Genomic DNA, 27,432 nt, shown 5'->3' with positions numbered 1-27,432 from the left:
TACCAGGCATGGTGGCTCGTGCCTATAATCCCAGCACTTTGGGACGCCAAGGCAGGAGGATCACTTGAGCTCAGGAGCTCAAGACCAGCCTGGGCAACATAGTGAGAGTCCATCTCTACCAAATATATAAATAACCAGACATAGTGGCACCTGTCTGTGGTTCAAGCTACTTTAGGGGCTGAGGCAAAAGGATTGCTTGAGCCCCGGGAGTTGGAGGCTGCAGTGAACCATTATCATGCCACTGCAGTCCAGCCTGGGTGATACAGCGAGACCCTTTCTCAAAAAAAAAAAAAAGACTAGAAACAAGATATTCATCAATAAGATAACTCATTAAATAAAGTGTGATAGGTCCCTCCAGTGGGCTTCTATGTAGAAGTGGAAAAGAATGCAGTAAATCGAGGCTGGGCGCGGTGGCTCATGCCTGTAATCCCAGCACTTTGGGAGGCTGAGGCGGGCGGATCACGAGGTCAGGAGATTGAGACCAGCCTGGCCAACATGGTGAAGCCTGGTCTCTACTAAAAATACAAAAAAATTAGCCGAGCGTGGTGGTGGGTGCCTGTAGTCCCAGCTACTCGGGAGGCTGAGGCAGGAGAATGGCATGAACCTGGGAGGCGGAGCTTGCAGTGAGTCAATATCGTGCCACTGCACTCCAGCCTGGGTGACAGAGCGAAACTCCTTCTCAAAAAAAAAAAAAAAAAAAGAGAATGCAGTAAATCTGCATGTGCTGATACACAACAACCTAAGAGATATTAAGTAAAAAAAAAGCAGAGTATAAAATGGTATATCACTTCCTTTCATTTGTATGAAAAGAAAAAGTATGATAGATTTTAAGATGTACTTGTTTATGCCTAGAATCTTTCTAGAAAGAAAGCTAAGAAACAAATAGTTGCCTCTGAGGAGGGGACAGAAGTTTAGGTTGGGATGGAGAATATCCTCTTACTGAGGTGTAATTCACAAACCATATAATTCACTCATTTAAAGTGTATAATTCACTTTATATGAGTGAATTACTTTTGGTATATTACTTTTAAAGATTATGGTTTAAATATATATATAACGTAAAATTGGCCATTTTAACCCTAGCAACATAGCAAGCCTAGGCAACATAACAAGACCTCATTGCTGCAAAAAAAAATTTTTATATTATCCAGGCTTGGTGGCACATGCCTGTAGTCCCAGCTACTCGGGAGGCCGAGGTGAGGGGATTGCTTGAGCCCAGGAGTTTAAGGCTGCAGTGAGCTGTGATTGTGCCATTGCACTCCAGCCTGGGCAATAGAGCAAGACCCTGTTTCAAAAATATAAAAGAAAATAAAATATTTAAAAATTAAAATAAATTTTAAAAAGAAAGTATAACAGGTTTTGAAAACTTAGTAATTTGCCTAAGATCGCACAGCTCATACTCCATAGTAGCAACCATCAGTTTTATTATAAAGTAATAAAAATTCTTACAAAGAATGAAGTTTTAGCCATCTTTCTGGGTGTTATAAGGGATTTTGGGTATCATCTAACCCCTTCATTTTACAGGATAACAGATTCATTGAGGTGAGATGGCTACCCCAAGTTAGGAATCCCATCAGTAGCAGGCCTCCTAATCCAAGGGACGGGATTTAGAGTAGGTCACAGAAGAGGTCTTTTGCTCTTTGACAAAACAAGTAGGGTTTGAATCTCTCCTGCCCCAAAATGAAATTTAGGAGTCTCTTACTTGAGACATCTCTTTTTTTTTTTTGAGACGGAGTCTCGCTCTGTAGCCCAGGCTGGAGTGCAGTGGCGCTATCTCGGCTCACTGCAAGCTCTGCCTCCTGGGTTCACACCATTCTCCTGCCTCAGCCTCCCAAGTAGCTGGGACTATAGGTGCCTGCCACCACGCCTGGCTAATTTTTTGTATTTTTAGTAGAGACAGGGTTTCACCGTGTTAGCCAGGATGGTCTTGATCTCCTGACCTCATGATCCACCTGCCTCGGCCTCCCAAAGTGCTGGGATTACAGGTGTGAGCCACCACACCCGGCCAGATATCTCTCGTATGTCCCATGCACCTGTACTGTCTAGTAGGAGGGAATGGGCCCACTGTGCCCTGATATTATTGTTTCTGTTTATCTGAAACTATGCAGCAAGCCTTCAGAGCCTATCTCAATTTCTACTTGTGAGAAAATTTCTCTGATTGTCCTACCACATCCAATTCTCACCTAATTCTTAGACACATTAGTATTTGAAACATATAATTAGCCATCAGAGAATGATGTGAGGCATTTTATAGCTGTGTCCATTTATGAGTCCATTCTGCCCACTAGTGTAAAGCACCAGAGAGGCCAGAGGTAGGTGACTGATTCCTGCTAGAAGGTCCCCAATAGATGGTTGTTGGTTGCTTGGATTAATTGAGCTGTGCCGTTCTGAAAACAAACGAACAAACAAACAAAAAAACCCTATGATTTTAGATATGAGTTATTCCAAAGGCTTCTCTGCACCTCCCCGCAGAGCTACATACTAGGTCACAGAACATTGGAATTGGTGGACATTGTGGCTATCCCTCAGTTGCTGAGAACCAAGTGTGACCCTTCCCTGTTTTTCTTACCCTGGCATTAATTACACCTTCATTTATGTGATTGTTTGATTACAGTTCATCTTCTCCTCCTCCCTTCCACCCCCAATAGACTAGAAATTCCATGAGAACATAGACTGTCTGGCTTGACTCATCATCGTATCTCCAGCACCAAGCCTGGCACATAGTAGGTGCTCAAGAAATATTCGTTGAAGGACTGGATGAATGAATATAGTACCTTATTTTATAGATGAGGAAGCAGAGGCCCAAAGAGGTCAGGTCAGTGGCAGAGCTGGGACAAGAAGGCAAGTCTCCTGGTTCCTCAGCCAGCATTCTTTCTGTTTTCCTCTGTATCCTCTCAGCATTAGAATTGGAAAATCTTGGAACCTAGTCTTAAACACTTTTATTTTGCAAATGGGAAACTGAGGCCCAGAGAGGGGAAAAACTTACCCAAGGCCACAGAAAGAGGCACTGGCAAAGCAAAGTCTGGTACCTAGGTCTCCTGACTCCCAAGCTAGTGCTCTTTCTTTGTAAAAGCACAGAAAAAACAAAGCTGAATTGGGCTTCTTGCCAAGCCCCTGCAGGAGGTCACATAGCTGAGCAGCTCTCAGAGTTCCTTGTCTATTCTTAGCCTGAACTTTTAGTGACTCTGGTCTTCAGCAGCCTTTTTCCCCTTTTTTCCTTTGCATTTGGTCTGTTGTGTATATGTAGTGTGTGTTTTAAATAAATGGTGCTACGTGTAGGAAATGGGCTTCAGCACAGTCCTGCTGCAGAGGCCCTGGAAAGAATAAATGTGAGAGAAGGGGCCCTGAGAAGACAATCAACTTCCCTTCCTCTGAAGTGACCCCAGTGTCCCAGAGCCACCCCCTCTCTGCTGCTTGTCACAACACAACTGCCAACAGAAGGCTAAACTCCTTACACAATAAGAAGGAAATCAACAGAATTTACAAGGAGGATTGGCTGTTAGTATTTGCCACTGAAGCCTCATTTTGATGAAGATCAAAAATCAGCTCTTCCTAAGCTGTGGTCCCTCTTCTAACATACACTTCAATTTCCCACCAACAAGTCATTTTTCAGTCAGTCACCAAACATGAATGAAAAGACCCTTCAGACGCAGTTCTAGCCTCTCAAAGCCTACCGCTTTCTCTACTTGCACAAACACTTTCTCCAGAGACATACAAGAAATTTAAGCAGCTACTGACCTCAGGTTACTTGGAAAAGACAAGAGACACAGAGGATAGAAGATAACTAATGTTGCCCTTGTGCAAAATGACCAATGAGAAGAACAGCTCTACATCAAGTTCACATTAGGCAGAGGTTGCTCTGGGCTAAGCTAGGTCAAGGAAAATTCAGGGGAGCAACTTGAACTGGTCTTGTCTATCAGTTATCTATTGCTGTGTAACATATTGCTCCACTTTGTGTTTTAGTTGTCTATTTTTTTTTTTTTTTTATAGAGACAGGGTCTTACTGTGTTGCCCAGGCTGGTCTTGAATTCCTGGGCTCAAAGGATCCTCCTGCGTCAGCCTCCCAAAGTGGTAGGATTACAGGTGTGAGCTGCCACGCGTAGCCTAGTGTCTATTCTTCCATGACAAATTACCTTAAAACTTAGTGGCCTAAAACAATAAACATTTATTATCCAACAGTTTCTATGGGTCAAGAATCCAGGTGTAGCTCAGCCAGGTGCCTCTGGCTCAGTCTTTCATGAGGTTTTAGTTAAGCTCTCAGCCTAAAGGCTCATCAGAGGGTAGAGAAGAATCCAGTTTCAAGCTCACTGAAGTGGTCGTTGGTAGGCCTCAGTCCCTCCAGACATAAGCCTCTCTATAGGGCTGCTTCAAGACTTGGTGCCGGCTTCACCAGGGTGAGAGGTTTAAGAGAGGAAGCGTGACCAAGATGGAAGCCACATTCCTTTTGCAACCTAATCTCAGAAGCGATATCCCATCACTTTTGTTGTATTCTTGTTATCAGCAGTGAGTCACCAAGTTCAGCCCACATACAAGGATGTGAATACCACGAGGCAGAGATCATGGGAGCCATCTTAGAGGCTGCCTGCCATACCTTGCCAGATGGATAGGATTTAAGTAAGGCATAGTAAGCATTCTAGTTAGTGAATTGGAGTTTTGAAAGGTTTGACTGGGGATGACCCTTGGTTGGAAAAAGACATCTAAATAGGAGGGTAGGAGGCCCAGATTGAACTGGGTTTTCAATGCCAGGCCAAAGAGTTTTACAGTGATGTGCCACATAACACATCTAATGGTGGGCCCGTAAGATTATAATGGAGCTGAAAAATTCCCATTGCCTGGTGATGTCATGGCCATTATACCATCCTATTGCAGTGCATTACTTACGTGCTTTTGATGATGTTGGTGTAAACACACCTATTGCACTGCCAGTCATATAAAAATATAGCACATACGATTACATACAGTGCATAATACTTCATAATAAATGATGATGTTACTAGTTTATATATTTACTATACTATTAATCGTTATTTTAGAGTGTACTCTTTCTACTTATAGGAAAAAAAAGTTAACTGTAAAACAGCCTCAGGTACATCCTTCAGGAAATATTTGAGAAGAAAGTAGTATTATCATAGAGGATAGCTCCATGCATATTATTGCATGGAGCTTCCAGTGGGACAGGATGTGGAGATGGGAGACAGTGATATTGATGATCCTGACCCTGGGTAGGGAGGGTCTCTGGATAGCCCTGACCTAGGTTAATGTGTATGTGTCTGTCTTAGTTTCAAACAAAACTGTTTAAAAAGTAAAACAAAAATAAAATTTTAAAAATGGAAATAAACTTATAGAATAAGGATATAAATAAGCTATTTTTGTACAGCTGTACAATGTTTTGGTATTTTAAGCTAAGGGTTATTACAAAAGAGTCAAAAGGTTAAAAATTAGAAGGTTTATAATGTCAAAAAGTTACTATAAGCTAAGCTTAATTTATTGAAGAAAGAAAAATTTAAAAATACATTTAGTGTAGCCCAAGTATACAGTGTTTATAAAGTCTACAGTAGTGCACAGTAATGCCGTGGGCCTTCACATTCATTCACCACTCACTCACTGACACACCCAGAGCAACCTCCAGTCCTGCAAGTTCCATTCATGGTATGTGCCCTCTGCAGGTGTACTGTCTAAAAAATTTTTGGCCGGGCATGATGGCTCATGCCTGTAATCCCCGCACTTTGGGAGGCCAAGGCGGGTGGATCACGAGGTCAGGAGATCGAGACCATCCTGGCTAACATGGTGAAACCCCGTCTCTACTAAAAACATAAAAAATAAGCCGGGCATGGTGGCACGCACCTATAGTTCCAGCTACTCAGGAGACTGAGGCAGGAGAATCGCTTGAACCCAAGAGGCGGAGGTTGCAGTCAGCCAAGATCGCGCCACTCTACTCCAGCCTGGGTGACGGAGCAAGACTCCATCTCAAAAAAAAAAAAAAAGGAACTAAGTCTATTTTATTCCTATTGTATCTGTATAATTTACAATAGAGGTTGGCATATAGTAGGTGACCATGAAAATTTGTTGACTGAATAATGCAGTTACCAGATTTGTTTTTTGAAATTTCTGACAATCTAATCCCAAGGAAGCTTATGTATTTACTTTAGGAGCTTCTAATCAGGATATAAATGTTGTCCCCTATTTCTTTTCTTTTCTTTTTTTTTTTGAGACAGAGTCTTGCCCTGTTGCCCAGGCTGGAGTGCAATGGCGTGATCTCGGCTCACTGTAACCTCTGCCTCCCAGGTTCAAGCGATTCTCCTGCCTTAGCCCCCTCAGTAGCTGGGACTACAGGCATGTGCCACCACGCCCAGCTATTTTTTTGTATTTTTAGTAGAGGCGGGGTTTTGCCATGTTGTCCAGGCTGGTCTTGAACTCCTGACCTCAGGTGATCCACCTGCCTCGGCCTCCCAAAGTGCTGGGATTACAGGTGTGAGCCACTGCACCCGGCCTACTTGTCCCCTATTTTTAAGGCAACATTATTCAAATTACCCAGGACATAAGAAAGGGGGAAGTTGAGCTTTAATCATGGGCCTAAATCCTTCCCTGTGACTAAAAGCTCTTTAAACAGTTCATCATTCTGTCGAGCCTCAGAATCTTGGAAGACAAACTTGGTGTCTAAGAACAGACAAAACTGGTTCCACCCACTTAGCAGTTCAGGAGTACAACCTGCCAGTAGACTGGTCAAGGTCCCAACACCTGGTCCTGCCCATTAGTCACGCTGCCTCCTGCCTTACTGGCTGACCAGAAGCTATTTTTGTGCAATGCCGTTACGTATGAAGAGAGAACTTGTTCTGGGGGAAGGAGTAAGGGAAGCAAAACCGTAAGGTGGGTGTATTAGTTCTGCTATGGCTGCCATAACAAAATACCACAGACTGGGTGGCTTAAACAGGAAATTTATTTTTCATAGTTATGAAGGCTGGAAGTCCAAGATCAAGATGTTGGCAGGGTTGGTTTCTTGTGAGGTGTCTCTCCTGGGCATGCCAATGGCTGTCTTAACGCTGTGTTCTCCCATGGCCTTTTCTCTCTGCACATACATCCCTGGTGTCTCTTCCTCTTCTTGGAAGGACACCAGTCCTATTGGATTAGAGCCCTGCTCTTATGACCTTATATAACCTTAATTACCTCTTTAAAGGCCTTATCTCCAAATACAGTCACCCTGGGGATTAGGACTTCAAAATATAAATTTAGGGGAGACAATTTGATAGGCAAGGTTTATTTCAAGTATGTCTCTTACCCTCTCATCCATACTCTTATAAAGGAATGATAATCTCCCATCTGTGGAGATGGCAGTTGATGATCCCTAAAAATTCTTCACATCCATGGTCTTGTGATATTACAGCAGCCTCCAAGTTAGCAGAGGTACTGTCATTATCCTTCCACTTCAGATGAAGAAACAGACCAAGAGGGTTAACAGGTTCTCCCAGTCACAGAGTATGGAATCTGGTTTCCGACTCCTGGGCCTCTCTGTGCTTGCCCTTGGCTCCTCAGGACTGGCCCCTGCAATGCCCCCACCCAGATTCTTTTTTCTGTTTTTGAGGTAGGATCTCACTCTGTTGCCCAGGCTGGAGTGCAGTGGCATAATCCTGGTTCACTGCAGCCTTGACCTCCGGGGCTTAAGCAATTCTCCCACCTTGGCATCCCAAGTAGTGCACACTACCACACCTAGCTAACATTTTTTTTTTTTTTTAACTTTTAGTACCGACGAGGTCTTGCCACGTTGCCCAGGCTGGCTCAAACTCCTGGGCTTGAGCGATCCTCCCAAAGTACTGGGATTACAGGCATGAGCCACCAAACCTGGCCCTCCCCACCTAGATTCTAACTCCCCAGTTTTTCTTCCTCCTGCTCTACTCCATCAAAACTTACCTACCTTTCAAAGTTCTTCCATTTGATTTTCAAAGTGATGACTAACTGGATGAATAAACCATTATTAATAAACTATGTTGATTTGTTAGTGAATGAGATATTACTAGAAGGGAGCTAGGCTAAACACATTAACAACCTATGAGATTTGACATCTTGAAAAATATTTTTTTCACATACCATATCCAACTTACTTATATTCTGACAGAAATTATGTAAAGTAGATATTATTATTATCTCTTTTTCCAAAAAAACAGATTCAGAGATTAGGTAGCTAGGCCAGGATCACACAGGTAAGTAGCAGAGGTGGAACTTGAACCCAGATAACTGCATATACTTTTCACTACGTCTTGCCCCACAGCCAAACTTTATTAGTTAGTTCAGAAGACTGTTACCCTGAAGTTCACCTCTGAATAGTTAAAGATGTGGCCTTCCCTCGCCCGTCTAGTCTACCCTAACCTACCCTCAATTGAGTTCCCACAGTGCTGGGACTTGAATCTCAGCTCCATTCCTGCTTAGCTGTGGTGATCACAAGCACATTTTTTCCCTCCTCACTGGGCTTTTGTTTTTTCACCTGTGAAATTAAAGCATTGACTGGGGTCATTTTTCAGTTTTAAGACTCTAAAAAACTGATTGCTTTTATCTTCCATTTCATTCATTCAACAAGTATTCATCAAGCACCTGGTTGTATCAAGCACTCTGCTGGGTACTGAGGACAGAGCAATGAACAAGTCAGACAAGGTCTCTGCCCTCAGGGAGTTTACTTTTCTTTTTTTTTTGAGACACAGTCTTGCTTTGCCACCCAGGCTGGTGTGCAGTGGCACAATCTCGGCTCACTGCAACCTCCGCCTCCCAGGTTCAGGCCATTCTGCTGCCTCAGCCTCCCAAGTAGCTGGGATTACAGGCATGCACCACCACAACCAGCTAATTTTGTATTTTTTTAGTAGAAACAGGGTTTCACCATGTTGGCCAGACTCGTCTCAAACTCCTGACCTCAGGTGATCCGCCTGCCTTGGCTTCCCAAAGTGCTGGGATTACAGGCGTGAACCGCCGTGCCCAGCTGTGAGTTTACTTTCTTACATGCCAGGAAAGGACCCTCGAAAGCATCTAGTCCAGTCCTTTTACAGAAGAGAAAAGTGAGTGATGATGGCGAGTGACTTATTCAAAGTCACAAAGCAAGAAGTGTCAGAGAAGGCATCCAGGAAGCTGGATGTTTTCATTCCTCCTTTGGGGCATTTTTCTTCCTCGCCATACCTTGTATTGTGAGTTCTCCTAGAACATGGTTTATCTCAGCTCGCTAACTAGACTGTGGCCTCTGATAGGTGTTTATCCCGAGATATGCTTCACACTGTGCTGCTGCTGGAGTATCTGACAACAGAGCTCACTCTCAGAAACCACCATTTCAACATTCTGAAACAGAAACTCTCCAGCACACAGGAGTACGATCAGAGTCTGACATGCAGGGCGTGAGCCAGCTCACAAGTAGCTCTGCTCTGCAGGGGCTCCTCTTTTTCATGCCACCAGGGGCCGGAGTCTATTTCCACTATCAGACTGCATATTTTTCTGTTCTGCTCACTGCTTTCCTACTGCTTTCTTTTCTCCAGATCAGGACCTGAAGTAGGTGGCTGCCCATCCAGGTATTCTACAGGCACTTGCCCGTGAAACCTTCACCACTCCTTGAATCTGGTTCTGCAAAGTGGGACAGCTGAGACTTAGGCTAAGTGACTTACTGAGGCAGCAGTCAGCACCGTGTGGGACCAGCCCCCATGCTGTTTCCCAAATGGAGGCACCTTCCTGCATACCTTGGGCGTGATCTGTAACAGCTCAGAAAGCTTGGACACCAGCAGGGTGGCACCTATATGGGGAGCACCTGTCCGCACTGACTGCATTCAATAAGCGTTCATTTCATCACCCTTCACCATGGTAATTTTTTAATTTTAAATTTTATCAAAGTTATACAGGAACATTGATTAAAAAGGGAACTAGTTCTTTAAGATTTGTTAAGACAAAGAGCAGTCCTCAACCTCCCTGTACCCACCCCAACCCCATTTCCTTTTCCTTAGAGGGACCAATTTCAACTTGTTTAATTCTTTTGGAATTTACTTATCTCCAAATAACATGTTTTATAATACTACTTCCTGTTTTTTCCTTTAGGCCTTATCTGTTGACTTCCCACTATGGAAGACGAGGATTTAGCTCCTTCTTCTTCATTTGCCCCCTCTATACATATGCATCCCTCTCTGTGCCCCCTTGCTCCCAGTATAGTGTAAGTTTTGTAGATAATAGTGTTTGTTATGACAGTGTAAATGCCACTTGGAGCTAAGCCATGTAGTCAGCCATGATTGCTTTTCCTAACACATCACTTTGTTTTGCTTATCTTTTTTCATCCACCTAGGTTTCTAAGGCCTTACCACTAGTCACTCTTACCACTTAAAGTCTGCCAATTACCTAGATCTTCTCTCAATACATTTTTCTCAGGAAAGTCTCTTGGAGCCTTCTCTCCTGCACTGGGGGCCTGCTACACACTGCTATTCTGGAACCTCTATTTACCACTGTCCAGGGGATTCCCTTGCCTCTTTCTTGTGTTAGATTGCCTGTTTTCTGGATCCCATGTCTTCTCATTTTATGCTTTCTTCCCTCGTTTTGATAACATATGTCCTCCAGGAGTTTCCTGGGAGTACACAAGAGATAATTTTTTTTCAAAATCTTGTGTGTCTGAAAATGTCTAACACTTGGTTAATTGAGTGTGGAATTCTAGGTAAGAAATCGTTTTGCCTCAGAACTTAGATTCCTCAGCCCTGTCGTCTTCTAGCTTCCAGTGCTGCTGTTGAGAAGGCCAAAGCCATTCTGATTCCTCACTCTGTGTGTGCGACCTTGCGGGATTTCTTTGTCCCTAGCATTAAGAAATTTTACAATGACACACCTATTGTCCTGGCCATTCGTGACCCTTTCAATCTGAAAAGTCATGTCCTTTCGATTCTGGAGTGTTTTGTTGAATTATTTCATTTCCTTTGTTGTATTTCTAAAACTTATTATTCACATATTGGGATGAATTTCTCATCTGTTCCTTCCTAGTTTCTATTTTGTCTTTTTATTCTACTTCCTGGAAAATTTCCTCAATGTTTTCTAATCCTTCCACTAAGCATTTTGTTTCTGATGTCGTATTTTTTCTTTCCAAGAGCTCCTATTGTAGGCTTTACCCTTGAAAAAAAAAATTTTTTTTTGAGACGGAGGAGTCTTGCTCTATTGCCCAGGGTGGAGTGCAGTGGCGTAATCTTGGCTCACTGCAATCCCTACCTCCTGGATTCAAGCGATTCTCCTACCTCAGCCTCCCAAGAGGCTGGGATTACAGGCATGCACCACCACGTCCAGCTATTTTTTGTATTTTTAGTAGAGATGGGGTTTCACCATGTTGGCCAGGTGGTCTCAAACTCCTGACCTCAAGTGATCCACTTGCCTCGGCCTCCCAAAGTGCTGGGATTACAGGCATGAGCCACCGCACCCGGCCAAAAAGCATTTTTTTGATGAAGTTTTAGATATAGCAAAATTAGATGCATGTGTTTAATTCACTGTTTTTTTTTTTTTTTTTGAGACAGAGTCTCACTCTTGTCGCCCAGGCTGGAGTGCAGTGGCAGAATCTTGGCTTGCTGCAACCTCCGCCTCCCAGGTTCAAACGAATCTCCTGCCTCAGCAGGAGTAGCTGGAATTACAGGTGCCCACTGCCACGCCCGGCTAATTTTCGTATTTGTAGTTGAGATGGGGTTTCACCATGTTGGTCAGGCTGGTCTCAGACTCCTGACCTCAAGTCATGTGCCCACCTTGGCCTCCCAAAATGCTGAGATTACAGGCATGAGCCACTGCGCCTGGCCTAATCCACTATTTTTATTCAGTATCTCTGTATATACTAGTTATTTAATGATTCGTATCTTATATTTGTATTAAACCCTTTAAGCTTTCATAGTGGATTTCTATCAGTTAACATATTTGATCCTCACTACTTAGACTATTATATATGGATCAGACTTTGGGATCATCAAGTTCAGCCCTATCAACTCACAGAGAGAAAATCCAATTCCCAGAAAGGTGAATTATCATGCTGGAAAACACTTGTTTCTGCCAGAACTTAGCAGAGGCATGTGAGACATTATTTGGCAGGCACAAAATACTGTAGGTTTGTGTTTTCACTCTTTTAAAAAAATTGTTATTGCCAGATGTGGTTACGTGATCCTGTAGTCCCAGCTTCTTGGAAAAGTGAGGCAGGAGGATTGCTGGAGCCTAGGAGTTCAAGGCTGTAGTGCACTGTGAATGGTCACTGTACTTCAGCCTGGGCAACACAGCGAGACCCTTTTTTTTTTTTTTTTTTTTTTTTTTTTACAAAAAAGTGTTGGCCAGGTGTGGTGGCTCATGCTTATAATCCTAGCACTTTAGGAGGCTGAAGTGGGCAGATCATAAGGTCAGGAGATCGAGACCATCCTGGCTGACACAGTGAAACCCCGTCTCTACTAAAAATACAAAAACAAAATTAGCGGCCGGGCACAGTGGCTAATGCCTGTAATGCCAGCACTTTGGGAGGCCGAGGCGGGTGTATCATGAGGTCAGGAGATCGAGACCATCCTGGCTAACATGGTGAAACCCTGTCTCTACTAAAAAAAATACAAAAAAAATTAGCCGGATGTGGTGGCAGGTGCCTATAGTCCCAGCTACTCGGGAGGCTGAGGCAGGAGAATGGCGTGAACCCAGGAGGTGGAGCTTGCAGTGAGCGGAGATCGCACCACTGCACTCCAGCCTGGGTGATAGAGCAAGACTCTGTCTCAAAACAAACAAACAAAATTAGCTGGGCCTGGTGGCAGGCGCCTGTAGTCCCAGCTACTCAGGAGGCTGAGGCAGGAGAATGGCGTGAACCTGGGAGGCAGAGCTTGCAGTGAGCCGAGATTGCACTACTGCACACCAGCCTGGATGACAAAGCGAGACTCTTAAAAAAAAAAAAAAGTGTTATAGGCCAGGCATAGTGGCTCCCATAACACTTCGGGAGGTGGAGGCAGGTGGATCACTTGAGATCAGGAGTTTGAGACCATCTGGCCAACATGGTGAAACCCCATCTCTACTAAAGATACAAAAAGTAGCCAGGCATGGTGGCATGTACCTGTAGTCCCAGCTGCTTGGGAGGCTGAGGAAGGAGAATCACTTGAACCCAGGAGGCAGAGGTTGCAGTGAGCTGAGATCTGGTCATTGCACTCCAGCCTGGGCAACAGAAGGAGACTCTGTCTTAAAAAAAAAAAGTGTTATTGAGGTATAACTGACATACAATAAACTGCACTTATTTACAGTGTATGACTTGATAAGTTTCGACATATATATACAGTCCTGCAGCCATCATCATAATCAAGATAGCTATCGCCCCTAAAGTTCCCTCATGCCCCTTTGTAGTTCCACCCTCCTGCCTCCTCCCAACCTGGCCCAGGCAACCACTGATTACCTTCTGTCACTGTAGATTAGTTTTCATTTGTTAGATATAAATGGAATCATGCAGAATAATCTCTCTTTCTGTCTGGCTTTGTTACATGTAGTTTTTTTGTTATGTTTGTTTTTAGAGAGGGTCTCACTCTGCACCCAGGCTGGAGTGCAGTGGCACGATTATGGCTTACTGTAACCTTGAACTCTTGGGCTCAAGTAATCTTCCTGCCTCAGCCTCCCAAGTAGCTAGGACCACAGTCATGGCCACCATGCCCGGCTAATTTTTAAAAATTCTTTGTAGAGATCGTGTCTTGCTATGTTGCTGAGGCTGGACTTGAACTCCTGGTCTCAAAGGATCCTCCTGCCTCAGCCTCCTAAAGGGCTAGGATTATAGGTATGAGCCACTGTACCTGGCCTACATGTAGCTTTGTTGGGTACTTTGGAGATCATACCTGACTGTTCAGGTGGAAAGCCTTCACCAGCTCCACCTCCCTCTACATCCTTTCTCTTCCACACACTGCCCATCTTCCCTCTTCTAGTTTCAGAGGCTACAAGTCTTCAGTGTTCTAGTCTTCTCTTCGTATGAGCCTGCTCCCAGGAAAGGACCAGTATACTCCATTCACACTGAGATGACTGATATGACTGATATGTCTTTTATAAAAGACAAAAACCCACATTTGGCTTGTGCCAAAGAAGTAAAGCTCTAATGACGAATTTCCAAGCATGAGTAGATAAGTTTGAAAGAGATTTATTGACAAGGGTTTCGCTGAACTTCTAGAAGTACGTCCTATATAATGGAGTCCTCATATAGACTGACTCTGCAGACAGGCACAATGAATTGAAATCACCTCTGGTCCCATTCAGAATTTCAGTTTCCTGAAATGTCAGCTATTTGAGAGCTAAGAAAAGAGCTAATGTCTTGCCGGCCTTCCTTCCTTTTGGTCTATTTGGCAGAGAATACAATCCTGTATAGATAAAGAGTCACTCAGGAGGGCGGGGCCTCCCATGTTTAGTCCTAGTGTCCTTGGTCTGGGTGAGAGGAGGACCATCGGAGGGAGCCCTGGGAAGCTGGACTGAGGTCCAAGCTGGCAGCGACCCAAGGGTCACAGGCAGGAGGGCCTGGCAGACTTGACTGTCCTACTTCTCTTTTTACTCGTTTTTACATTTAATCTTCTTAACAGCTTTGTAAAGCAGGAGAATGGAAAATATTTCTTTATTTTAAAAATGAAAAAAGAGAGGTAACATAACCTGTGTAACTTCAAAGCCTTTCTCAGCCGTAGCTCTGACTGTAGACACCTCAGGCCACCTGCCTGCTGATGTCAGGGAACATGGTGGTGTGACACCTCTGGGCTGCAGCAGAGGAGTCAGGGCAAGAAAGGGAAGGGAGTAGAGTCCTCAAGCCCCTACACTCTCAACCGTTGTTCCTCCCTCCACTGCCCTAACTGCCCTATGTGACCGCCCCCAGGTTTACCATTCCTCTCCAGGGGCCTGTCTGAAAATGCATAGAGCCTAGGAGGGGAGGGCAAATGCAGTGGTCCCCAGTAGTCTGTGGGAAGGGAACCATCAGACGTTTTCCTTGTGAACAGGAGGACCTGCTTAGGACAAAGCTGCTGGTTAATGGGGAAGACACACAGGCAGTCCTTTTGGCTCAGTTCAGCATTTGTTGAATACTGACTCTGCCAAAATGGGGCCAGGCACATTTCCCAACCTCGTAGTCTTTGGTCCTTGTGGGTCTTTTTTATTTTTATTTTTTTTTTAGAGATGGAGTCTCACTCTTATCACCCAGGCTGGAGTGCAGTGGTGTGATCTCAGTTCACTGCAGCCTTTGCCTCCCGGGTTCAAGCAATTCTCCTGCTTCAGCCTCCCGAGTAGCCAGGATTACAGATGTGTGCCACATACCTGGCTAATTTTTGTATTTTTAGTAGAGATGGGGTTTCTCCATGTTGGCCAGGCTGGTCTCAAACTTCTGGCCTCAAGTGATTCGCCCAGCTCGGCCTCCCAAAGTGCTGGGATTACAGGCGTGAGCCACCGCGCCTGGCCCCTTGTAGATCTTGAATGGTGGGAAACTGAATAGTGGTTGGTGGAGAGGGAGGAGGTTGTATAGAACCCCTTCCTCAGTAACCCAGGAAAGATGTAGCGAAGGCTAAACCGGGGGAAAGAGCACAGGGAAGAGATTTTAAAGACAATCTTGACCAACTTCAGTATTTTGTCAGGGCTGGCTGCTCCCGCCTCCGGGGACCCCAGTCTGCCTGCTGGTCCTCCTGTGCCAAGGAACTCAGTGGCACAAAACCTCCAAGCAGAAGAGGGCAGGAAAAGGGAGTAGAGCTTTCAGAGTCCTGCTTCTTGTATAAGGACAACATCTCCCCTCCATCACCAAGCAATGGCAAACTCTCAAAATTAAATTTATTTACAAATCAGACATCCCATGATTCTTTTAGCAAGAGGGCAGGCATTTCTATATCTTGAAAATAATAAAAAGGTAAATATTTCTATGTATTTAATACAATTCTAGTTTATTATCGTTTATTTCGTTTGATTCTATTAATGAGCTTATGCAGTAGCCAGGCAGGAATTATTGGCAGCTAACAGATAAGGAAACTGAGGCACAAGAGAGTTTGACTTACTCAACGTCACATAGACTCATAGTCACATAGTAGTGAAGCCAGATCTTAACACTTCACAGGCTAGAAGGGGTTGTAGAAGCTGGGACCACAGCTGTTCCAGGGATGTTTGTGGGATAAAGTGGCCTAGGCTAGGAATTGGGATTTGTTCTGTATTTTATCATCTTTTGAGATTATCTGTGGCCTTGCATGGGTATAAAGACGGATATAAAGACCAGGGTTCTGGTTCCAATTCTGCCAGTCATCTGCCATGTGAACTTAGCATGACTCAACTTTTTTTGGTCTTGGTTTTCTAATTTCTAATATCAGAATTTAAAGGATCCTGGGATGTTTTAGGAGGAAGGGGCATTTAAATTATATCATTAAAATTTGGGCTAAAAGTGAGAGGAAAGACAATAACCATGAGCACTGGCACAAAGGTGGAAATTCAAGGTCTGGTCTGGAAATAGCTAGAGAAATTTAACTTGGAATATAGAACAGGTGTTGATATAATGAGTTCATTTATTTTGCCTGCTGTATGATAGTTCATTGAAGTAGTAAACCACAGTTCATATATCCATTCTAACTCTAAAAGATACTAAGAAATACTAAAAATGTTGCTTTGACATTTTTAGTATTACAGTGACACAATGAACATCCAAGTGCATGGTTTTTAAAAATATGTGTGTGACTTGATTGAAGATTGAGGCTTAGAAATGGAAAATGCTAGGTTATAGGCTATTCACATCTTCAACTCTACTAGGTATTATGTATTTCTGTTCCCCACCAAGACTTTTAAATTGTTGCTAGTTGGCTGACTGTGAATGGTGGTAAAATATATTTTAATTTTCATTTTCCTAATTACTAGTGAGATCGAATTTATTTTCATGTGTTTGTTGATCATTTAGGTTTTTTCTTCTAAGGTGTCTGATAATATCTTTGTTTATTTTCATAGGAGTTATATATTACAGACACTAATCCTTTATTGATTATATGCATTGCAGATACCTTCTTCCAGTCTGTGGCTTGTCTTTGTACTTTACGTTGTTTCTTCATGAAAAAAATTTTTTTTAAAGTTTCATTAGTTAATTTAGCAGCATATTCTTTTATGGCTTTGCTTTTGTGTTTTAAGAAATCTTTGGCCAGAGGTCATAAAGACATTTTCATATATTTGCTTTTTAAAGTGTTAAAGATCTTTGTTTCTTTCACCTTTGTCTTCAATTTTACCTTTCCATGTTTCAGAACCACTTAATGAACCTTCCATGCTTTTTCTGTGGTTTGTAATGTGACCTCTACCACATACCACATTCCCATACAAAGACAGGTTTGCTTCTAACCTTTGTGTCTCATTCACTTCATCTGTTTGCCTGTTCCTGTACCACACTATTGTATGTTAGGACAATTCTTCACCTTCTTTAAAAGGAAGAAGATTATTGTGGCTCTTCTTGGCCTTTTTTCTTTTCAAATGATTTTTAGGATCCAAAATGTATAATTTATGAAAGAAAATCTATTGGAAATTTTAAAGGATTACACTTGATTTCCAGATGGACTGGGGATAATTGCCAGTTTTATAGTATTGATTCTTCCCATCCATGAACATGGCACATCTCCTCATCTGAGTCTTCTTTTTGTGCATTTGTTGGATTTATTCTAGGTACCTTCTGGTTTTTGCTACTATTATAAATGATATATTTTAAATGACTTATAATAGTTTTTGCTGCCCTATAGGAATGCTGTTGGTTTTTTATGTTGATTTTATATCCGACAGCCTTGATAAACTCTCATTAGTTCCAATAATATTCCAAAGAAATGTTTTGAATTTTTCTATATAGACAGTTAATTCAGCTGCAGATAATGTTATTTTGTTTCTTTTCTTTTTCATGTATTATTGTGATCTCTAGGAACTTTAGTACTATATTGGATAGAATAGTGGGTTTGGTCTTGACTAGAAAGAGAAGGCTTCTTATTTTTTTTATTTATTTTTTTGAGATAGAGTCTCCCTCTGTAGTCCAGGCTGCAGTGTAGTGGCGTGATCTCAGTTCAGTGCAATCTCTGCCTTCTGGCTTCAAGCGATTCTCCTGCCTCAGGCTCCCGTGTAGCTGGGATTACAGGTATGTGCCACCACAACCAGCTAATTTTTGTATTCTTTAGTGGAGATGGGGTTTCACCATGTTGGCCAGGCTGGTCTTGAACTCCTGACCTCGTGATCTGCCCACCTCAGCCTCCCAATGTGCTGGGATTACAGACATGAGCCACCGTGCCTGACCGAAAGAGAAGGCTTCTATTTCACCATTGACTATGGTGTGTTCAGTGAGATGTTGAAAAATATACTTTATTGAGTTAAGAAAATGTTTTTATATTTCTAGTTTGCTAACAGTTTTTTCTATGATTGGGTGTTGACTTTTTTAAATCAAATGCATTTTCTGCATCTGTTGAGATTCTCCTTTAGTGTTCTTTAACTTATTAATATGAATGATATTGAATGATTATCTGATGTGAAACCATCCTTGCATTCCTGGGATAAACCCTACTGGATAATGATTTATATATTTTTTTGTACATTGCTAGATATGGCTTGCTAATCTTTAGTATTTTATATCTATGTTCATTAATAAAATTGGCCTCTAATTTTCTTTTCTCATACTGTCCTTATAGGGTATACAAATGTAAATATACTATTTTTAATAAGAATTAGAGTCATTAGAATTAGAAGGGAATTTAAAGAGCATCTAGTCTGATCTCATCATCTTATAGTGGAAGACACTGGAACTCAGAGAAAGGAAATAGCCTTTCTAAAATCATACAAAATTAGAAACAGAGTTGGGACTAAAGTGCTTGGCAAAGCACTTGCATTTCAAATTACTTTCCCATTCATGATCTCATTTTATCTCCACAACAGCCTTGCAGGGAGGGTAATGCTTATTGTCCCCATTTTATAGATGGGCTAACTGAGGTCCAGTCACTGAGGTCATGACTTATGTGACCTAGCAGAGTTGGGTCCTAGACCCCTCCAAAATTTCTTTTGTTCTGTGCCCAACCCCACTGACAGAACCACTTATCTGCCTGAAATGAAGGGACCCACTGAGTCATGTATCTAAAATTAATATTTTGTAAGAGTCCAGCAATATTTTCACAGGCATGTCAAATGGATGCCCCATTTACAGATAACCCTCAATGGGCAAAGATGAGGGCTTTATGGTCCTTAAAGGTCCTTGGTGGCCAGGACACTGTGGAGGCCAAGATAAACCACTGGTCTCTAAGAATGTTCTTTGGTATATAGAAGGCCAGGATCCTTAAATGCAGTCTTTCTAAATGGGGTCAGAGTACAAGACCTTAAGATCCTGTCCTCAAAATTTCAACAGAAAGGGGCTCCAGTTTCTCTTTGTCCCCTCCCCCACCCTCTGGCCACCACCCACCTTCCTCCATATCTCTCAGCAAGCTGCTTCCTGCATCAGCGCCCTTGTTTTGCTTGTGCTATTTGTGTCTGCTTCTAACAGCTGGCCCCAGCCTGGCAGCCCCTAGCTCTGAGGATTATCCAATTATCCCATTAGCCCAGCATGTCCTTCCTTCCTCCAGAGCTATTAGCTCCCCATCTCCCTCTCCCTCTCTCTCTCCCTGGGCTTGTCCATAGCCTCCCTTGCTCCTTCCCTAGCCAGGCCTAGAGCTGGGTGGGTCAGCCCACAGTCAAATAGACTCAGAGAATACCAGAGCTGGAAGCGATATGTATCCACTGCTTCATCATTTTGCAGGGAAGGAAACCCAAAGTCACATGACCAGTTAATGGCAGCAGAGAACTAAAACCCAGGTCTCTCGACCCAGTCAGTGTGCCTTACCAAGTGTTGCTATGCTTCGCCCTAGGATGGAGGAGATACCATCCCCACTCCTCTCTCTGGGATTCAAATTTATAGTCTTGGTAGGAAAATAGAACATACACTGGTGAAAACCAGCACATTATTCAGGCGTTAAGTCATAACTTAGCAGCAGAAGAGATGTCATCAGAAGCAGGTAACAAACTTCTGGTGCGTGGGACAGGCATGCATCTAAAGGCGCTCAGGAAGGGGAAAAGAGGATTTCAGCAAAGTCTCCCTCCATCTTCATGGAAGAGACGGCTCTTCAGGTGGTCCCTGAAGCATGGGAATTGTCTAAAGTAGGGGAGTGACAGCATCCCAGGCAAAGTGGCCTGCCTGAGAGACAAAGGCAGGGAATGGGGTAAGAGGATGGTAGACAGTTCAGTTTGGCACAGTGAGGAGCAGGGTAGTGGGTAGGAAAGTGGGTGGTCAGAGACAGGCTGGAGGGCAAAGCTGTGTCCTTGAATGGCCACAGAAAGAAGGTGGACTTGATCTGCTGCATATTTAGGGTCCACTAAATGTTTTGGAGCAAGGGAGGGACATGGCTGATGCTGTGCTTTGGAGATATTAATCTGACTGCTTGGGCTGAATAGATTGCGGTAAAAGAGATCAACAAAGAGGTCTGTTTGGAGTGTATTCAGGTTGGTAGAGATGATAGTGCCTCCGCCAAGACCATGACTTTGAGGGGTTACTGAGGGGTAGAGTGGATGGAACAGATTCCAAAGATGTTCAGAAAGAATTAACAGAATGCAATAGATTGGATTTGGGAAGATAAGGAGAAGAGCTCCTACTAATAGGATTAGGGAAGTAAGAAGTGGCCACAGGAAGTATGGGGTAGGATGGAGGAAGTGGATGAGGACCCTCCCCAGCTTCACCCTCTGGCACTCCTTGGGTGAGAGCATTTTGTAAAGTTGGCAGAGTTTGCTTAACCCTGGGCTGCAGGATGCCTTCTCTACCCTATGTCTCAGCCCCTCCAGGCTTCTCTGCTGGATGTCCACATGTTGACCCAATAAATCATCATGGTACCCTCCCCAGATGGCAAATGTCCTTCACTTGGGGTAATACTGCTGTCATCTAAGGAGGAATTTTTGGCCTTGGGGTGTATTCTGTTAATACAGGACTCTGGGCCTCTTTGATGCCTTTCAATCCATACCAGGTAGTTGTCTCCCAGCTATACTCATACATTTGATGCAGGTAGTGACTTTTTAATGTATATGTTGTCATTCCCTCCTCCTAATCCTCTGTCTTATCCCACATACCTGCTCTGGGCTTCCATGAACTGAAAACTGAACTGAAGGCAATTCTGGCCACAAAAGATGAGCCATCTTCACTAGCCTTGTGCCCTCGAAGTACAGAGAAGTCTCCTCAAGGCCCATAAGGGGGTCCAGGCCTCTTCCAGGCCAGCAAGCACCTGAATATCCTGACATGACTGTCCTTGGATCACTGAAGACCCAGCCATGAGTCTCAAATTGTTGCATCTTGGTGGCCTTTAACGTGAACTAGTTATTCTGCTGAAGCTTCTGTGAGCCCAGTTGTGCCTTTTGGAATAGCACAATGCAAGCTGTTTCTCTCATCTGATCTGTTCACCATAGCTCTCCCTAAGTCTTCTCCAACCTCATGTCCTCCAGACATTTTCAGTTTCTAGATGCTCCCTGTCTTGATCCCCTTCCTTTGGCCACTTGTTAATTCGTTGAGTGTCATTGGGAGGTTACCGTCTTGTTTGCAGGCACAAAATGACAAACTCATTTCAGTTTGTTCATGAGCAGGTGGTGTTGAGAAATGAGCATGTCTCCTGCCTTGAGTGGGTACCTGGTGAGTCCCTGTAGCCTGGGACTCACTTCCTAGTAACTAGGATGTCAGTGCAGCTTGAGGCTGCAGTTGCTTCTTTCCCAGCCTGTCCCACGGTGTTAGCCAGTGCTCAACTGAGTAACTGTAGTGTCCATGTTGTTTTGACCTGAACTGATAGTAGGCTGGGTCTCTCTATCCTCCCACTCCTCCCTGCACATTGGCTTTTTCTGAAATTGAGCAGGCTTTTTTTTGGGTTTTTTTTTTTTTTTTTTTTTTTTTTTTTGAGATGGAGTCTCGCTGTTGCTCAGGTTGGAGTGCAGTGGCGTGATCTCAGCTCACTGCAACCTCTGCCTCCCAGGTTCAAGTGATTCCCTTGCCTGAGCCTCCCGAGTAGCTGGGACTACAGGCATGCACCACCACATATGGCTAGTTTTTTTTGTTTTGTTTTTTTTTTTTTTTAGACGGAGTCTTGCTCTTTCGCCCAGGCTGGAGTGTAGTGGCATGATCTCGGCTCACTGCAACCTCCACCTCCCTGGTTCAAGCAATTCCCCTGCCTCAGCCTACCGGGTAGCTGGGATTACAGGTGCCTGTCACCACGCCTGGCTAATTTTGTTGTATTTTTAGTAGAAACGGGGTGTCACCATGTTGGCCAGACTGGTTTCAAACTCCTGACCTCAGGCAATCTGCCCACCTCGGCCTTCCAAAAATGCTGGGATTACAGGCATGAGCCACCGTGCCTGGCTAGTTTTTGTATTTTTAGTAGAGACGGGGTTTCACCATATTGGCCAGGCTGGTCTCAAACTCCTGACTGCAAGTGATCCACCTGCCTTGGCCTCCCAAAGTGCTCAGATACAGGAGTGAGCCACCACATCCGGTCTGAGCAGGACTTTACACTGGTCCTTGCTCAGTTTTATCTGTCCAGCCCTTTGAGGTCATTTTGAATCCTGACTCTGTTGGCCCAGACATTTACTGTATCCCTTCTCCATTAACCTCTTAGATAAGTCTAAATTTCCCTAATGTCTAGACTTTCATAAACAGATGGGACAGTATAGGGTTGAAGAAAGTAAATGATCCATAATCAGTGACCCTTGCCTAGGTCGTCTGCCAGTTCCACACCCACCTCCCGGCACCCAGAGATCAGGGACTTCCAGGTGCCTGGCTTGAACTCATACCCACCACATTTCTCCCTCTGGCAATGGCTGGGCAATGTCAGTGATCAGAATATAGAAGGTGGTCAGTAGCTCTCCTCCCTGCCACCCCATCTTCCTTCCCTCCCAGCCTCCTTTCCACTCTCTGATTCCAAGAACACTGGAGCTATTGATTGGTTACCCTCTTATTTTTCTGAGCTGAGAATGGATTTATTACTGCAATAATAATGATCATCATCATCCTGGGCATTTGTGTTAAATATACCTTCCAAAGCACTGCCACATTTATTTATTTTTTTGAGACAGAGTTTCACTCTTGTTGCCCAGGCAGGAGTGCAATGGTACAATCTCGGCTCACTGCAACCTCTGCCTCCCAGGCTCAAGAGATTCTCCTTCCTCATCCTCCCAAGTAGCTGGGATTACAGGCACTTGCCACCATGCCCAGCTAATTTTTATTTGTCTTTTTTAGTAGAGACAGGGTTTCACCACGTTGGCCAGGCTGGTCTTGAACTCCTGACCTCAGGTGATCCACCCACCTTGGCCTCCCAAAGTGCTGGGATTACAGGCGTGAGCCACCGCGCCCGGCCCACATTTATTAACTCATTTTATGTAAAAGTAGGTGTGGCAGCTCAGTGACTTGTCCTGTCAAAGAAGTCAATGGCAAGACCAGGGATTGAAACTGGTGCTTTGACTCCCCGTTCAGCAGTCAGTGGAACAGGGTGGTGGCTGGAAGGAGCAAGTGGTGGGATTATTGGGCATCTCTGAACCAGGCAGCAGAGAGAATCAAGCTGAAACCCCAAGAGATAGCCTGCAGGATGCCTGGCCAGGTCCCTCCAGTTCCCCTAAAAGTTCTGGAACTGAAAGAACAATTAATTGTGATATTGGACTGGGACTCAATTTTCCTAAGAGAAAACTTGATAATTTCTAAAAGTCTCATCTATCTTTAACAATTCCAGAAATCTCTGAATATAAACCAGGCTCTATCCCCCTCACTCCCCTTTCCAACCTAACTAGAAAATGTGGGTGGGTTGAGAAAGAACAGAAAAGAAAGATAAAAACTGTGACAGCCTTCTGACAACATTTTAACTTGAAAATTGCCTCCAAATGGATGGCATAATTCAGTGTAGGCAGATGAAAATCAGGCGCAGATTTACTCAGCCCCTCCTTGTTCTTATTTCCTGACTAACACATTGAAGAGATGGGGCCCTGGAGCTGACCGCCGGCCTCTGACAGGCCAGCTTGGTGTGGCCCCCTCTGTGAAGCCCATCCTGACTGCCCGCTGGCGTGTGGTTTTCACCTCCTCTGAGAGCCTGTGTGTCCCTCACAGGCTTATTCCCTCCGTCGGGCTTATTCTCCCCGTCGGGCTTATTCCCCTCAGTCAGTTGTTGGCTCCCTGCGTCCTGCCCCCGGCTCAGTGTGCATCAGCAAGGGCTCATTAAGTGGTTGGGAGAGGGACAGAGAGCCAGGAGACAGGGCTCAGGTCCTAACCAGCTTGATCCGAGGGCTTAGCTGGTCGTTAGGTGACAGTCCAGATGGCTGATTTGACAAAGAGTCACTCCTCTCCTCCCCCAAACGGAAACACTTCCTTGGACAAGGCAAAGAAGTGTGGATGGGTCCATGCAAAGCCTTCCCCACCTCCCTCAGAGGACCCTGGGTTGGCTACACCTGTCACCTGCCCAGCCTCATGCTGACTTCCTGGCCTGGCCTTTCTCCTAGGCCAGCCTCCCTCCAAGCCTGACTAGTGGGAAGCAGAGGGACTTGTCAGGAAACTCTGCTAAGCTGCTCTTTCTTCTCTGGAAAAAGAAAGGGTTGAACCAGAGTCTCACGAGGTGCTTCTTGTAGCTAGGTTCTGTGTTGTGTGTCCATCCCCCTCTTTTGAGGTTGTGTGAGTCATCTGACATTCTCCTGCCCCCTCCCTTGGCTCTGCAGCCTGACAGGGGCTGTCCTAACAATGACAGTGACTGCTAATGATGAGTGACAGCAGCAATGAGGGGCACCTTGGGAGAGAGGGGGGATGGGTGTGGGGAGGAGGAGAAGGTGGTAACCTTGCACACTGAGCAGTAAGGGTCAGGGAGGGAGCCACTTGCCTCACAGCACACCTGGGTCTTCCTAAGTTCTGTCCCCTCTAAAGTAACTTCTCCCGTCAGCAGAGGGTCATTGCTTAGCATGCTCAGAAAACAGTTGTCCGGCACTGGAGCTCAGGGGAGGGTGTCCAGCTGTGGCAAGAGCCCGTAGCAGCAGCCATGCGGGGGAGCAGCACAACATCGCAGGACAGCAGTGGCATCCCAGGCACAGAGTGCTGGCCTCACCCACTTTTCCCTGCGGCCCCAGGAGCAGGGGCGGGCTGCGCAGAGCCCTTCCCACATGCTGAGCAGTTGGATTCCCCCGGGTTCTTGTTTCCCCACCACAGTTGAAAAGACCAGTTTCCCATTTCTGGGATACCAAGTCCCAGAAGATGCAGGGAGCATCAGCAGCTCATTTCCTCACAGCACCCAGGTGGCCCCTCTTCCTGCCCTGCTGTGGTTTGCTGTCCCCTGGTCAGCGCACTGAACTGTGGCCCTACTCAGCTCCCTGAGCCCCCGGGTGATGCCTCCCAGAGGATAGGGCCTTAATCCAACCAGATTAAGGTAGGGTTTCAGGAGGGGTGGTTAGAGGAGGAGGGTGAAAGGGAGCCCTCCGGAGGGCTTGTCTCTTGTGAGGGCCAGTGATGAGCCAAGGCTGAGCCTGAGCCAGACCCCTGCTCTCAGACCTCCCTGTGGCCTGGCAACACCTGCTGTAGAGGGGGGCTGGGGCTATCAAGAACATGGATCTGTGATGGGACCCTTATGCGTGGGACAGGCCTGAATGAAGCATGTTATCCACCCGTAGCCCTTTGGGAAGGGCAGGGAGAGGGTGGAGAGGGGCCCTTCCACAGAGCTGCAGGGCTTGGAGCAGCCCAGGCCACAGCTCCTGGCAGCCTGGCCCAGAGCAGTGTAGACCAGGGCATAGCCTGCACCCCATGGCGCTGGGATGTTGCTCATGCCCTTCACCAGTCTTCACATCTCCCTCATGCTGCTGCTGTGGGCACTTATTCCTGTTGAGGTGGGCTCTGCCCCCTAGCATGTTTATATGTGCACAAATGTATTCTCTTATCGTCAGAGGAATGATGCCTGCATATGTTCAGGTCTCTGCCCATGTGCTTACACTCAGGCCTGCTGACGGTGGGAACCAACATGGGGTGGGTGTGGACATGGGACCCTAAGCTCCTGAGGACATGAGGAGGCCTGTGCTCTACCACTAGGCAGGAGCTGGCCCTGGGAGGACTAGGGCCCATTTGTACCTAGAAGCCTTTGCTGAGCCCCTGGCCCTGTTCTCCCAGCCCCAAAGCCTACACCCATCTAGCTCAGTACTCAAAGTCTGGTTCCCAAGGTCTCAGAAAAGGCTGGAGAGACGGGATTTCATTCTTCCCTACCTTTGTAGTTCTCTTTCTGGCCTCTTCCCACCAATTGCTCATGAGGACTGGCAGCTTCTGTGCTCTTGGTCTTCTCAGGCATACCCCAGCCACTGTTCCACCCTCAGCCCACAGCCAGTGCAGATCCTAGGAGGGAGGAAGCTGGTGTGGACAGGGGGTGGACTCAGTGCATTTGTATCAGTGGCTCCTTATAGGTTGTCCTGGCTGTCCATAAGAACCCCCTGGGGAATTACTTGATCTACCCTAGCCAATTAATCCAGTGTCTCTGGGGCAAGGGACTGAGGCTTTGGTGCTGATTGAAGCTTCCTAGGTATTTCTCCTGTGCAGCCAGTCTAGAGGACCTCTGAGGATATAACAGTGAGATAGCTAAAACAATCCTTTGTTGGTTTTGGGATAGTTTTGCAGGCATCCATATACTAAAAGTGTAAAGAAGTGCAATGGAAAGGGCTGGGCGCGGTGGCTCACGCCTGTAATCCCAGCACTTTGGGAGGCCGAGACAGGCGGATCATGAAGTCAGGAGTTTGAGACCAGCCTGGCTAACATGGTGGAACCCCATCTCTACTAAAAACACAGAAAAAATTAGCCAGGCATGGTGGCAAGTGCCTGTAGTCCCAGCTACTCGGGAGGATGAGGCAGGAGATTCACTTGAACCTGGGAGGCGGAGGTTGCAGTGAGCCAAGATCGTGCCACTGCTCTGCACTCCAGCCTGGGCAACAGAGCGAGAAAAGAAAACCGTCTCAAAGAAAAAAAAAAAAAGAAGAAGAAGAAGTGCAATGGAAAGAAATGAAATTCAGGAAAGTGGTTGTTTCCAGGCCTAGGATGCAGGGTAATGATGGGCAGGGGTCAGATGCAACATTGTAATGTTTCAGTTCTTAAGCAGAGTGCTGAGGAAATGATGTTATTTTGTACTTTTTGGTTCGGTTCAAATAGTTCATCATTAAGTTAATGGAAACAATGAACATGGATTTTACAGTCAGACAGACCTGAGTTTTAAGTTCACTTCTGCCACTTACTAGCTGTGTGACCTGGAGCAATCATGTAACCTCTCTGGGCTTGTTAATCATCTGTAAAACAGGGCTCACAGGGCTGTGTGAGGATTACCCTTGACATTCTTACACTCCTTCCGGGAGTCCCAGAGTGAGTGAGACCAAACCGGGACAATCACAGCTCTCCACCAACCTCAGGCAGGGGCAGGTTGCTAACTGCCTTCCAGGCCTCAAACTTCGCCATCACAGAAAGAT

At 45.2% G+C, this 27,432-nt stretch overlaps 1 long non-coding RNA gene across 2 annotated transcripts in view, besides 4 other annotated features; it reads left to right on the top strand.

Moving 5' to 3' along the window:
- The window catches only part of ADORA2A-AS1 (ADORA2A antisense RNA 1), a 65,869-nt gene that overhangs the window by 24,797 nt on the left and 13,640 nt on the right, over positions 1 to 27,432 (top strand). Inside the window, exons 4-5 of one of the 2 annotated variants that reach the window (NR_028483.2) lie at positions 9,507 to 9,825; positions 17,950 to 18,067. The exons of the other annotated variant lie outside the window; for it this stretch is intronic. This is a non-coding gene — a long non-coding RNA (ADORA2A antisense RNA 1). The remainder of the gene's footprint in view (positions 1 to 9,506; positions 9,826 to 17,949; positions 18,068 to 27,432) is intronic. 2 annotated transcript variants of the gene reach the window in all.
- Positions 9,101 to 9,170: an enhancer, noted in NCBI's record as "active region_18773". NCBI's record gives its function as "activates an Ori minimal core promoter by ATAC-STARR-seq in GM12878 lymphoblastoid cells {active_cell/tissue: GM12878}" and the evidence as "EXISTENCE:reporter gene assay evidence [ECO:0000049][PMID:35858748]".
- Positions 9,451 to 9,600: an enhancer, noted in NCBI's record as "active region_18772". NCBI's record gives its function as "activates an Ori minimal core promoter by ATAC-STARR-seq in GM12878 lymphoblastoid cells {active_cell/tissue: GM12878}" and the evidence as "EXISTENCE:reporter gene assay evidence [ECO:0000049][PMID:35858748]".
- Positions 24,606 to 24,725: a silencer, noted in NCBI's record as "silent region_13552". NCBI's record gives its function as "represses an Ori minimal core promoter by ATAC-STARR-seq in GM12878 lymphoblastoid cells {active_cell/tissue: GM12878}" and the evidence as "EXISTENCE:reporter gene assay evidence [ECO:0000049][PMID:35858748]".
- Positions 25,370 to 25,561: a silencer, noted in NCBI's record as "fragment chr22:24840685-24840876 (GRCh37/hg19 assembly coordinates)". NCBI's record gives its function as "represses an EF-1alpha promoter that drives an FKBP-Casp9 reporter gene in an ReSE screen in phorbol 12-myristate 13-acetate-treated (for megakaryocytic differentiation) K562 erythroleukemia cells {active_cell/tissue: K562(+PMA)}" and the evidence as "EXISTENCE:reporter gene assay evidence [ECO:0000049][PMID:32094911]".

The sequence above is a fragment of the Homo sapiens genome, chromosome 22 (assembly GCF_000001405.40).
Source record: "Homo sapiens chromosome 22, GRCh38.p14 Primary Assembly".
Taxonomy (NCBI): Eukaryota; Metazoa; Chordata; class Mammalia; order Primates; family Hominidae; genus Homo; species Homo sapiens.
This window is presented reverse-complemented; position numbering and strand designations above follow the sequence as displayed.